Source organism: Homo sapiens, chromosome 6 (genome assembly GCF_000001405.40).
Source record: "Homo sapiens chromosome 6, GRCh38.p14 Primary Assembly".
Classification (NCBI taxonomy): domain Eukaryota; kingdom Metazoa; phylum Chordata; class Mammalia; order Primates; family Hominidae; genus Homo; species Homo sapiens.
Window position 1 is genome coordinate 9,696,751 of NC_000006.12, and position 12,711 is coordinate 9,709,461.

General features: G+C 36.8%; 1 long non-coding RNA gene and 1 pseudogene across 2 annotated transcripts in view; one reads left to right on the forward strand and one right to left on the reverse strand.

Annotated features, from left to right (window-relative positions):
- The first annotated feature begins 484 nt into the window (after positions 1–484).
- LOC124901484 (uncharacterized) lies at positions 485–1,391 on the forward strand. The gene is made up of 2 exons (XR_007059910.1): positions 485–526; positions 817–1,391. It is a non-coding gene; the product is annotated as an uncharacterized LOC124901484 (long non-coding RNA).
- A 6,836-nt stretch (positions 1,392–8,227) lies between these two features.
- Positions 8,228–12,711, reverse strand: part of OFCC1 (orofacial cleft 1 candidate 1 (pseudogene)) — a 506,631-nt pseudogene continuing 502,147 nt past the window's right edge. The window contains exons 12-13 of the transcript NR_170155.1: positions 11,007–11,222; positions 8,228–8,692 (exon numbers count right to left, since the gene is read on the reverse strand). The product of NR_170155.1 is annotated as an orofacial cleft 1 candidate 1 (pseudogene) (transcript). The remainder of the gene's footprint in view (positions 8,693–11,006; positions 11,223–12,711) is intronic.

Genomic DNA, 12,711 nt, shown 5'->3' on the forward strand with positions numbered 1-12,711 from the left:
ACAAGGATGCCAAGAAAACACAATGGGGAAAGGACAGTCTCTTCTACAAATGGCACTGGGAAAACTGAATATTCACATGCAAAAGAATGAGAATAGAACTTTATCTTACACCATTTGTTAATACAAAAATCAACTCAAAATGGATTAAATACCTAAACAAAAGATCTGAAACTGTAAAATTCCTAGAAGAAAACATAGGGGAATATCTTCATGACATTGATCTTGGCAATGATTTCATGGATAAGACACCAAAAGTACAGAAAGTAAAAGTGAAAATAGACAAGTGGGACTACATCAAACTAAAAAGCTTCTACACAGCAAAGGAAATAATCAACAGAATAAAACGTCCTCCTAGTACTTTTATACTACCTTGTATTTATTCCTTCTCTTTTCTTTCATCATAAACATACATTGTTTGCTAAATTGATGACCTGGCAAGCCAAATCCATGATATTCAGGATCAAAGCTGAAGAATAATTTTTCTGTTGGTGACTTTAACAGAGGTGGAAAGTGTTGGAAGAAGCAGGTTGGAAGGAAAAGAAAAAGAGGATTTAAGACAAACTTTTCAGGAAATTTCTCAGAATGTCATTAGATATCAAGAGATTACTCTTTGTTTGCTACTGGTCTCTGGGTTGGAGAAGCAAGTTAATAATTCACAGCAAAATTAGCTCTCTCTATAATGGGGAAAATATTTTCCTAAAGTCAAATAATTTCCTGGCTGGTCTTCAGGACAAGGGTTACAGGTAACCAAATAAATGTTTACCTTAGCAATGCAGAGATGGTTCTAACTTCTCTTCTTTAACCATGTCCTCACAGCCTAAATGTGTAATAAGAAGACTGGAGGCTGAACACACTGAAGAACAAAGTGATTGAAGCACCTTACCTAAGACAATATAAATATAAAATCAAAGAAGAAATGACGAACAGGAGGATGTAAAGCAGCACTGTGATCACCACGCCAAGAATGCCTGGCTGCACGGTTCTTACAAACATCCAGTAGAGCTTCGCGGCATCCGCCACAGGAGTCTCCTCATTATCTGTAAGCCGCTGACAAAAGCAAATTCAGATTTGAAAAACTCAGAATGGGAACACTGATCACCAAGTTAGGTGAATGTAAAGATACAAAGACTATGTGACCCTATAATTTGTTTTAGAATTAAATCTTCTAGGTACTGAAGATTGCCAGCTTTTCAGGTGCACAAAGGAAAAGAAAAAAGGCTGGGTTTTGCATGCTACTTTACCAGGTTTTTCTCATCTTCCCTCTAAGCCTTTACATGCACACACTCGACATGCAATTCATAAAGTAAAAGCCATGTTTTATTTATGTACTATTAACTTCTGAATTTAATGAGCACAAGACATGAAGAAATTAAATATGATGGTGAAAAGAGTCCTTTCTTTCTGAAGCAGATTTGATAGGAATTTAATTTGTGCTATGCATAAAAGAGATGGCTTATTTTAGAAACTTATAAAAAAGTTATCAGGCTACTTAATGTGAGTTTGAAAACCAAGTTTACATTAGGTTAATTTAACAATAAGTCCTTATTTTAGACAAGGAAAGACATATTCTACATTGGATTAGAAATAAAAAAGCAACACGATGGGGTTTTTAAAAGTATATACATTTGTAAGGACCTACAGTATCATCATATGACATCTTTGACCTTTGAGTTTTATAAAATATGGATGTTCTTTAATTATAAGTCTTTTGATATCAAGTGGAAGTAATATGCAGTATAAATGTTAAGTAAGGTATCTTTTCTCCAATGCAATAGAGAAGGAAGAATTTCTTTAGTCTTTAAATCGATGATTAAACTGATGATAAATATAGGTTGAAAAGACACTTTTTAAAAAGGCTTATCCAAATCACTTACATGTAGATGAAAACAGAAGCCTAAGCAGATTCATTTGTATTTTCCCTCTACCAAAATATACTTTAGTGATTGGGCAGTGAGTAGAATTGAGATGTTCCAATTCTCAACTACTGCTTCTTTGAGCACCATCTCAAAACTTTTATTTCTATACTCTGTACTTGTTAACCAGTTGACCTTGCAAAATTGTGTGTCTGCTGCCAGGACTTTTGGCAGTAGATTGTAAAAGTCATCATGAGTCTCTCCTATTCCACATCGTACCTTTCTGCTGTTCCTTAAAGGTAATGAAATAGACTTGAGATTCATTAATGAAACAAAAAATGATATATATATATTTGATGACAATCACATAATCTAACCAATATATTCTAATTATTTTCTTTGACCCACATGTATTGAATGCCCATTATGTGTCACTAGGAACTGAAGATAAAAGAGTGAATACAATTAGACAAAATCTCTACCCTCTTGGAGCTTACATTTAGGTGAGAAGGGGGTAGGTGAATGATAGTAAGCACATATGCAAGATTAAAATAAGTAGTTTACTGAATATGATACATCATAAGATGGTATTATAAAGAAAAATATAAACCAGAAGAGGTATAGGAAGGATAGAAGTATATCACTAAATATTGCTGTCAGAATAGGTGTCACTAAAAAGATGGCCTCTAAGAAAAGACCTAAGGATATAAGAGAATGAGCCAGGTGCCTCCCAAATGGCATTCATCACACACTGCCCATACTACATCTGTGTGTGTGTGTGTGTGTGTGTGTGTGTGTGTGTATTTTGATTCTCCAACTAGATTGTAAGTTCTAGCCTGGACCATTGGGGCAATGGCTGTTACATCTTGTGTCATTCACAGAGCACAGCATCATCATTTCATTCTAACACTCTCATCTTTATTCCTTTTATGTTAAATATATATATTATATATATAATTATATGTATGTTTCAAGGTTTATTCCCAGTTAGTCTCTTATTTGATCTTCCCAACAACACTATAAAAAGAGTAAGTTAGGTATTTTGTATTTGTAGGTATTACTACTTTCTCATGATGCATATGAGGTCACTGAAGACCAAAGAGGTAAACTGGCCTATCCAACATCATATAGGTGACAAATAGCGGAGCTGGGACCAGAGCCCAGCTCTCTCTGACTCCACCCCGTGGTCTTTCTGCTACTCCATGGTCGCTTCTAATGGAGTGTTTGTGGTTTGAATGGGTCTCCCTAAAGCATGTGTTGGAAGCTTAATCCCAGTGCAACAGTGTTTGGAGGTAGAGCCTAATGGGAGGTGTTTAGGTCATGAAGGGTCCACCCTCATGAATGGATTAATGCCAATTATAAAAGGGCTTGAGGCTGCAAGATTGAATTCTTACCATCTGTCATCCTCTCTTTGCTCTGCTGCCACGGGATGACACAGCAAGAAGGCCCTTGCATGTGGCTGACTGCCACGGTTACTACTTGAGACTGTCATTACGGCAGTTGCTATGGTTACTGCTTGAGACTGTCATTACAAGACTGAACGAAGGGACAAACATAGAAATGATAACAAAAAACAAAAGAAACTATTTTAAGGAAAAGCTAGCATGGGGAAGAAGAAAGCTCCCTGCTTCTAGTGAGCAAAGACAGCCCCGAGCTTCTACAACCCTTTGTATTTATTGGATAACAAGAGCAAGGAGGAGGAGGTAGCGATTGGTCAGCTGCTTAATTGATCACAGGTTCATATTGTTACTGACCGGCTTCAATTATGCCTAATCATAAGAAACATTTGTGCGGCCTCCAACACTTGCAGGATGTCAGTTCCTCAATCTCAGACTTCCCAGACTCCATAACCATGAGCCAATAATTCCTGTTCATTATAAATTAACCAGTCTCAGGTATTTTATTATAGCAGCACAAAAGGGAATAAGTTGTGGAGTCTCAAGAATCATTTGCTGAATGACAGTGTTTGCATTCTACCTTTCATCTTTGCTTACATGTTTTATTCTTATCTCACTATTTATATTGAGGGTAGAAATTATGCCATATTTATTCTGCATCTTTTAAAATCCTATGTAAAGAGTATATAGTCAATAAATATGTGCTGATGGACTAAAACATTCAGTAGCAAATCTTTCCTCTACTTTTTATCCAGATTAGGGCTCAGGCAGAGAAATAATCTATCCACTTAATGAAATTGTTGAGCATAGTATCATCAATGCGTTGCCAACCCCTGAGCCAACAAACTGAAGGACTAAGAAAGAATTACTAGCAACATCAACAGCCATTCAGCACTTCAGCCTCAAACCAATTCATCTGCCACATCTCCTTTTAGATCTCCATAAATGAAATGAATTCAGGACAGAAAATATCAGTAAAATTAGGCAGCATCTCTCTGAGCTGGGTGACCTGGATCAAACCCAGAAGATACTCAGCTTTGTCTGCTAAAAAGAAGTGCTGAAGGATCTGGAGGTATGAACTCAGGCAACCTGAGACTCCCGAGTGACATTCAACCCATGATAACTGCAACCCCATGTGGAAGAGTAGTTTTCAAGAATTAATGAACATCAGAATCACCTGGAAGGCTTGTTAATATACACATTGATGGGCCACTTCCCAACGTTTCTAGCTCAGTAAATTTGGTGCAGGGCCTAAGATTCTGCATTTCTATTAAGTTCTCAGGTGATGTTAATGCTGTTGGTCCAGGGACCACACTTTGAGAACCATAGATTTAAATCAATACTTCTGAAACTTCAGTATGCTGTCAAGTCACCTGGAGAATATGTTAGTATGTTTCAAATCAAAAGGTGGCCATGTCCAAGTGCATTTTTACAGGTTCCCAGAGGGTTCTAATGCTGTCTATCTGTGGATTAGAGACAGCTTTAGAGGTTTTTAAAAGATAGCAAAATTAGATGTCATCTGCAATAAAACATGATGGATTCAAACTGCCCAATAACTTGTGAACATTTGGAAAACAATTTAGCCTTTTTTTTCAAGTGGAGAGAAAAAAGGGTGCTCTACACATCTACTGGAACCCAAGTCAGCCTTTATCAGGTTGCAGACCTCTGAAGTGGTTCTGAGACGGCCATGCTGGAGGTTACTTTCCTATAGATTACATCAGAGGTCCAGAGTAAATTAAGTTCTGCTCATTTTGTCAGCTGCCTTGGATACAGTGGACTGGTCTTCTATTTATCTGCCTGAGGGAACTAACTGAAACAAGAAAAGTCCTTCCAAGAGAGCTGCAGACATCCTTCTAAGGAGATCTCAGAGGACCATAGGGACAGCTGTTCATCCTCCCCAAATGTCTTCACATGTGATGTGGCTGTAGGCCCAGCCCCAGCACCCTGTCTACTCAATATGCACATCAGGCATCTGGGAGAAATTGCAAGGTGGTCCACTCAGAATGCAGACAGCATTTCTCTCTACATCTCCTGCTCATCAATCCTCGATGCCACAGTCACCTTATTATCCTGGAGAATGAGAGGTAGGAACGTAGATGTTATCCAGCTGGCTGCAGCTCAGTTCACTGAGAATCAGCAGGGTGCTAATCGGCAGGGTGAAAAAAATTTAGAGATGGGGTAGGAAACACAGCCACTTCTAACTCAAAAGGCTCCCTCTTCTGCCATGTTGTCAAGGTGCTACAAGGCATGGAGGCTTCACACAGTGGTCTGCGCTTCAAGTACTGAGGAGCTTTCCTCGGCACATGATTCTTTCGCTAATCCCTAACAGTGGGACTAGAAACTAGATACAGCAGTGGGCTTCCGGTGCACTGGTTTAGTTCATTTTAATAATGTTAAATGGTCTACATGGTTAGAGCCAACAATCACACTTGTTGGCAGGTTCTGGGCATTTCTGGCAGAGGCCATTTCCACTCAGGAATAAGCAGTCAGAATTCTCACATGAAATCTACAAAGACATTAGTGCACTTAAATCTTCGAGAACTCCAGTCTTATGAAGAGCAGCCCAGCTATCCTCAGTGAGCGAAAGCCCAGCCTGGCAAGCAGGAAAATGAAAGGAAAGGCCTTCTCAGCAAAGTGTGTAGCACCTTGTTACTCACAGTGTGGTCCATGGAACTAGCATTGTTGGCACCATCTAGGAGTCTATCAGAAATGAAGAATCCTAGGCGCTACCTGCCAACTCAGAAAGTGCATTTTAAAATATATTTTTATTTTTATAGATTTAGAGACTATAAGTGCAGATTTGTTACATGAATATGTTGTGTAGTGGTGAAATCTGGGACTTTTCATGTAACCGTCACCCAACTAGTGTACACTGCATCCATTAGGTAATTTCTCATCCCTCATGCCAATTTCTCATCCCTCATGCCAATTTCTCATCCCTCACGCCCCTTCCATCCTCCATCCTCCCACCTTTTTAAGTCTCTGAGGTCTATTATTCTACTCTCTGTGTTCATTTGTACTCATTATTTAGCTCCCACATATAAGTGAGAACAGGAATGTGCATTTTAATAAGATCCCCTGGGAACTTGAAAGCACATTAGTTTGAGAAACACTGCTATAGCATGCTATGGCCTGAGAGAGTGAAAAATGGTGACAGGCTCTGCTGACCTTAGCTGTCTACTATAGCACCCAAGGTGGGAGATATCTTCATGGATGCAAATGTTCTAAAAGCATGTTATTGAAAAAAGAATCAATTTTAAACACAGTTAACAAGTAGAGACCATCAAAACACCCATCTCTATGATTTGCTTGGTACAGTGAATATAATCCAAACACATACATTCCAGTTGTGAAACTTTCCTTTTTCTTGTTAAAAGGAAAAATATCCAAATGTGGAATATTATTTCATAAAGATAATTTTATAAGTAAATATTTGATCATATTGATTAATTTATAGTATCTATCTGCTCTGCTCTCTTGTTTGGAGTGATATTTTATGGCCAGGCATACAGTATAGAAATTTAGTTAAAATTCAGATGTCTCTTCTTTTGCCTGTTGAAATTGCTTACAAATGTGATGACTTCAAGGTAAAGTGTTTCTTGGCTTGAATTATTCCACTGTTTGCCAGTATTTTTAATTTTGCTTTGATGATTTAATCTAAAGCATTTGGCAATTTAAGTGGAGCTTGGATAAAGTTGCTAAATTGCAGGTCAGGGGCCATGGCTAATAGGCAGGATAGGAAAGGATCCCCCATTGAGCCTGCCTAGCCTTGCCTAGGAACGGATGCCCCATTGAGCCCTCCCTATGCAGGAGCTTACCTCTTCCAACCTATGTTGCTATTCCTAGATCTTCTTAGTCGGCTCATCAGAGCTTTCCTATGCAGCTATAATGTCAGTGGTTCTCAAACTGTGGTCCCTGACCAACAACATCACTGTCATCTGTAAATTTGTTAGAAATGCAAATTCTTGAGCTCTACTTCAGACCCACCAGAGGAAGAACTCTGGGGATGGGGCCCAGCAATCTGTTTTTACCATAGCCTATAATAGATTCTGATACAATATAAGGTTTGAGAATCAGTATGTTTTAGTACCACTCTCTAGGAAATCCCACGCCTTGTGAATTCAAAGCAACGAGAGATTTGGATATGGTAATAAATTTACACTAAGAGCCACATCATTTTTGCCTCAAATTATAGCCCCCAAATTCATTGGTAAATTAAATATTTTGGGGTAATCAAAAAATTATCATCAGGGATAGCATACATTTGATTTCACAAAGCAATATATTCCCTGAAAGCTTGAAGTGGAGATTTTAACATGATGGAAGAAACATCATCCTCAGAATTCAGAAATCTGGGTCCCAGTCCTGGGTGCAGTGTGAACTGGCTATATGGCCTCAGATAAGTCATGTAATTCTGTATCTGGTTTCTCCCAGCTGTAAAGTGAGAAGAATACTTACCCCATCAACTTACAGGATTGTCATAAATATGTAATCAAAGACATTGTGTGAAGATGCTTGAAAAATACAAGAGCACTCTTCAAATATTAGAATCGTTATTGCCATTATTTACATGTCATTATGTATCTTAATACATCATTCATAATTATGAAATCCTAGAAATATATATTTTAAGGTGAAAATGCACCATGTCACTTCAATATCATTAAAAAAGTCTAAATAAATGCCTATATGGTAATTTTTAAAATACATTTATTACTTAGAAATGTTTAAAAAGCTTTCATTCTTGACTGTATTTCTTGCAGGAGAGTATTACATCATAGTCAGTAAGTAACCTAACCAATTAAAGGAACTACTGCACAATTACCTTTTTGCAAAATTTGCCTATGAAAATCCTTAATATTAAAAAAGTTACCTAAAAGAAGTTACCAAAAGAATATAACAAAATAAAGTTTCTTTGTAATAACGTTAAAAATGTGACTGCTAGCTAGGATTTGATCTTCAACATGACTTCTGGCATATTTTTCAAGTGTTTATTTATGAGAGTTAAAATTACACTTAAATTGATTATATTAGACATCCATGACTTTTTTATCAGAAGAAACTTAACTTCGATTTAAGATGCATACTGATTGTTCATTATGATTGAAACTTTCCATGTCAAATGATTCATCCACTAAAGCTAAACTCTATGTCAAGGACTCATATCCTGATTATTTCATTTGACTTACCCCCAGGAGAGTATCCAGTATAAACACTGCCAATGGGTCCAGAATTGTCCATAGTCCCATGGTAATGATTAACTTTGACAAGACATCAGGACAGGAGGCAAAGAGTAGCTGACAGCCCCATCTGATCAAAACCAAAAGAAGCAGGATTGCATTCAGCATTAAAGGCCCCATCACAACCACGGGAAGCTCTTCTCCAATGTGAAGTGAGGAAGTTGGGTAGCAAAGCTCAACGATGTGAAGAGAAAAATGGAATCTGTGGGAAAACAAGGCAATCATATAGGGGCAAACAAGAGGAACTGCACCAAATGCCAAGTGTGCGAACCAATTTAAAGAACTCTGTTTTGTTTTCTTTTTCTTAAATACAGAAAACTTGACACTTAGTAGTACCCCCAAATGTATTGTTAGAAGTTTTCATCTTTTCCCAGCCCCTCAACATGTTGCTTTCCAGGAAAAGGCAAACTCTGTCCTGTTTATTGTTGTTGTAAGTGTTCTGTGCCACCATAGAAAGTATATCAATTTGAGCCACTGAACAGAGCATTCTAAAGACTAAGAGCATTTGTGCAGTTCACACGGTACATTTTAGCAGGCTATTTAAAATGCAAAATATACCAGTGAACTTTCTACTGTGTCAATCTTTAACAGAAATGAGAACTAGATGTAAAATCTAATAATCCTTTAGAGTTTTAGCATAACGGATTAATTTTACTCATGATTCTTGTAACAAGATTCCCAGATACAACAAAAATGACACTGTCACCGCTAACAACCAAAATATCTTACTCCTTTGTTGTTCTAAAAGAGTCAACTAGACACAGTTGAAGGACCTAACCCAAGGGTTAGATCCAATCTGAACCCAGTCATTCAAGCACCCTCAACCCAAGCTTTGCCACTGTCTTTCTGTGCAGTGAGACTTTATTTCACTTGAAGTTTTCCCTCCCCTGAATTTCAGCCTATGTAAAGCTGTTTCATAGTTAATCCTGCTTGTGCATTCTATTTATCCGCCATCTACTAAAAGGAGTTGTTTGTTTTATCCACTCCTTGACCTGTGCTTCAAATAAAGTTTTATGTTTTGTTCTTATGTGAATATCAAATAAAGTAATGTACGTACACTTCTTTTTTTTTTGAAACGGAGTCTCGCTCTGTCGCCCAGGCTGGAGTGCAGTGGCGCGATCTCGGCTCACTGCAAGCTCTACCTCCCAGGTTCATGCCATTCTCCTGCCTCAGCCTCCCGAGTAGCTGGGACTACAGGTGCCCGCCACCACGCCCGGCTAATTTTTTATTTTTATTTTTAGGAGAGACAGGGTTTCACCGTGTTAGCCAGGATGGTCTCGATCTCCTGACCTTGTGATCCACCCACCTCGGCCTCCCAAAGTGCTGGGATTACAGGCGTGAGCCACCACGCCTGGCCATTTACGTATATATCTTAGCATAGTATCTGTCCCAGAGCAAGAGCCGAAGACATGCTCATTGTTGGTGTTGTTATTGCTATGGCTCACAGCTAAGATGTGACACAGAGCTACTGTATGACCCAAGCCTGCAGACTGAGACAATAGCCAGAAAAATATCCTTTGTATCTTAGGTCCTCGGTTGCTTAAGAAATTGGTTCAACTGGGCTGTCAAGATACATTTTGAAGTCTCATTTTATTAACAACTAATAAAGATAGGGCTTCCTTTTCTATCGAAGAATAAAAGAGTGAAAAGCAAAAAACAACTAGGCCAAGCATATCATATTTGTTCTTTTTGCTTTGGAAACCTTAAGAAAAGAGAATGAAAGAAAGGAGGAACAAAGAGACTATCCAGATAAAAATTCCCCCTTGAAAATACAGTTTAGTATATATATATTTGCATATTCCATAATATATTCAGACCTTTATAATTTTCAAAGATATCAATAACTATATATGTATGTATAAATATAAATATTTATATTGTTCTTTGTAATCTTCCTAATTGAAAATATACACGCAACTTTATTTTTATCTGTACCATCTACATTTGAGAAAATGAATTTTACTTGTATTGATATCTATCTGTGTGTCTATCTACAGTGTCTTTGGAATCATGTTTATAAAGAGATAACCTTTAAAGTGTCATCTTTTTCCAGAGGATAATGGCCCAGAAAGCTGCCTGGGCTTGAGTTTGGTAATTGTTTGAATTCAATCATTTTGCAGAAGAAGCAATCTTTGCTTCTCTGTGAATAGGTGATAAATCACACTTACCTTACTTCTAAAATACCTTCAGCCTAAGTCACTATGATAAAATCAAAATACAATAAAACATTGTTGCTAAATTCCTTTTTGGAACCTGCTCAGATATTAGAACATATTTGAATCTGCTAAATTTAAAATAAATATTGATGTACCAGTTATGTACTTATATATACAGGCCCATAAGGTGAGACTATAACTGTAATAGAAGTTTTTGCTTAGATAAAGACATTTTTGTCTTTTCAAATAATCTCTGCATTTTAGGTTGTACGGTAAATTGATGGGAGAGGTGTTTTGTACTTTCATTTGTCCTATTAAGATGAAAATATATTCCTTTGACTTTCAGAGGAAACCACTCACTTTGTAACAGGAGTTGAAATGGCCTGGAGGAAAAGCCACTGGCCCAAGTAATGCAGGTAGAGCCTCAGGAACCAGAGAAAAAACATCAGCAGTATAATGTACCAGAAGCCCTGGCTTTGCCATTGAGATAACTGAAGTTCTGAAGACGCTGATACCAGCACAAAATGGAGATGCTTGAAGAAGTCTCCATATCTACTATCAGCAACTGAAGAACAGCTACAAACAAAGAAACAGTAGATAAAATCTCGGCTTAAAGCACAACCAAAAGTAAGATATTTTGAGAATAACAATGAAACACTGTGAAAGGAAAACTGAACAAAATTATTTCTAAATAAATACTTAGGATTCAAAACTATTTATGTTCCTTTTAGCTATAGTGGATGGTTCACATTATAGGAGAACATAAAGAAACATGAATTAGGGAAATGCAAATCAAAACCACAATGAAATGCCACCTCACATCTGTTAAAATGCCTACCATAAACACACACACACAGACACACACGCATGTGCAATAAGTGTTTGGAAGGATGTGAAGAAATTAAAACCTTTGTGTACTATTGGCAGGAAAGTAAAATGGTTCAACCACCATGGAAAAAAGTATGGTATGTTCTCAAAAAATTAAAAATAGAATGACTATATGATTCAGCAATTCCACCTTTGGATATATATCCAAAAGAATTGAAAGCAGGGTCCAGAAGTGATATTTGTGTACCCATGATTATAACAGCATTATTCACAATAGCCAAGATGTGAAAACAATATAAATGTCCATTGGTCGATGAATGGATAAACAAAATGTGGTGTATATATATATATATATATATATATATATATATATATATATATATACATACAATGGGATATTACTCAGCTTTAACAAAGAAGGAAATTCTACAACATGGATGCTACATGGATGAACCCTGTGGACACTGTGCTAAGAAAGATAAGCCAGTCACAAAAGAACACATACTTATGATTTTACTTACAGGAGGAGGTATCTGAAATAGTCAAAATCATAGAAACAGAAAGTAGAATCGTGGTTGGCAGGTGTGCAGGAGAGGGGAAATGAGGAGTTGCTAATAGTATAGAATTTCAGTTTTTCAAGATAAAAAAAGTCAGATTTGTTGCACAACAACGGGAATGTACTTACCACTGAACTGTAACTTAAAAATGGCTAAGATGGTAAGTTTTATGTTATGAGGATTTTACCATAATTGAACAGTTTTTTATAATAAACATGAAAATAAATTATTGTAAATGGTAAATTTACTTTTTATCTTTAAAATCTAAAATACATTCCTGCTTATCTCACTTACCCACAATGATCTCTCTACATGAAGATTAAATTATTTGCATGTGACTTTTTAAAGATCAATTTTCATTTTAAAAATTGAAATTATCAGTATGCCACTAAAAATCTATGAATACAAATCCAAAACTTAAGAACTTTTTCATTCCATAACACAATACTGATATTTTTGGTTGAAACAAAATATAAAAGGATCTCATACAAAGTATTCTGATTCAGCTCTGATCTCTTCTCTATATTTGGCATTAAGGACAAGAGATGTCAAAGTTTCTAAAATTATAGTTTTTGCAAGAGAAAAGATGAAGAGGCCATCTGAAAATTACTGAACAATCAGAAAGCATTTTCTACTCAGTCCAAACAATTTGTGGAGGTAGCATACAACAGAGTTACCAC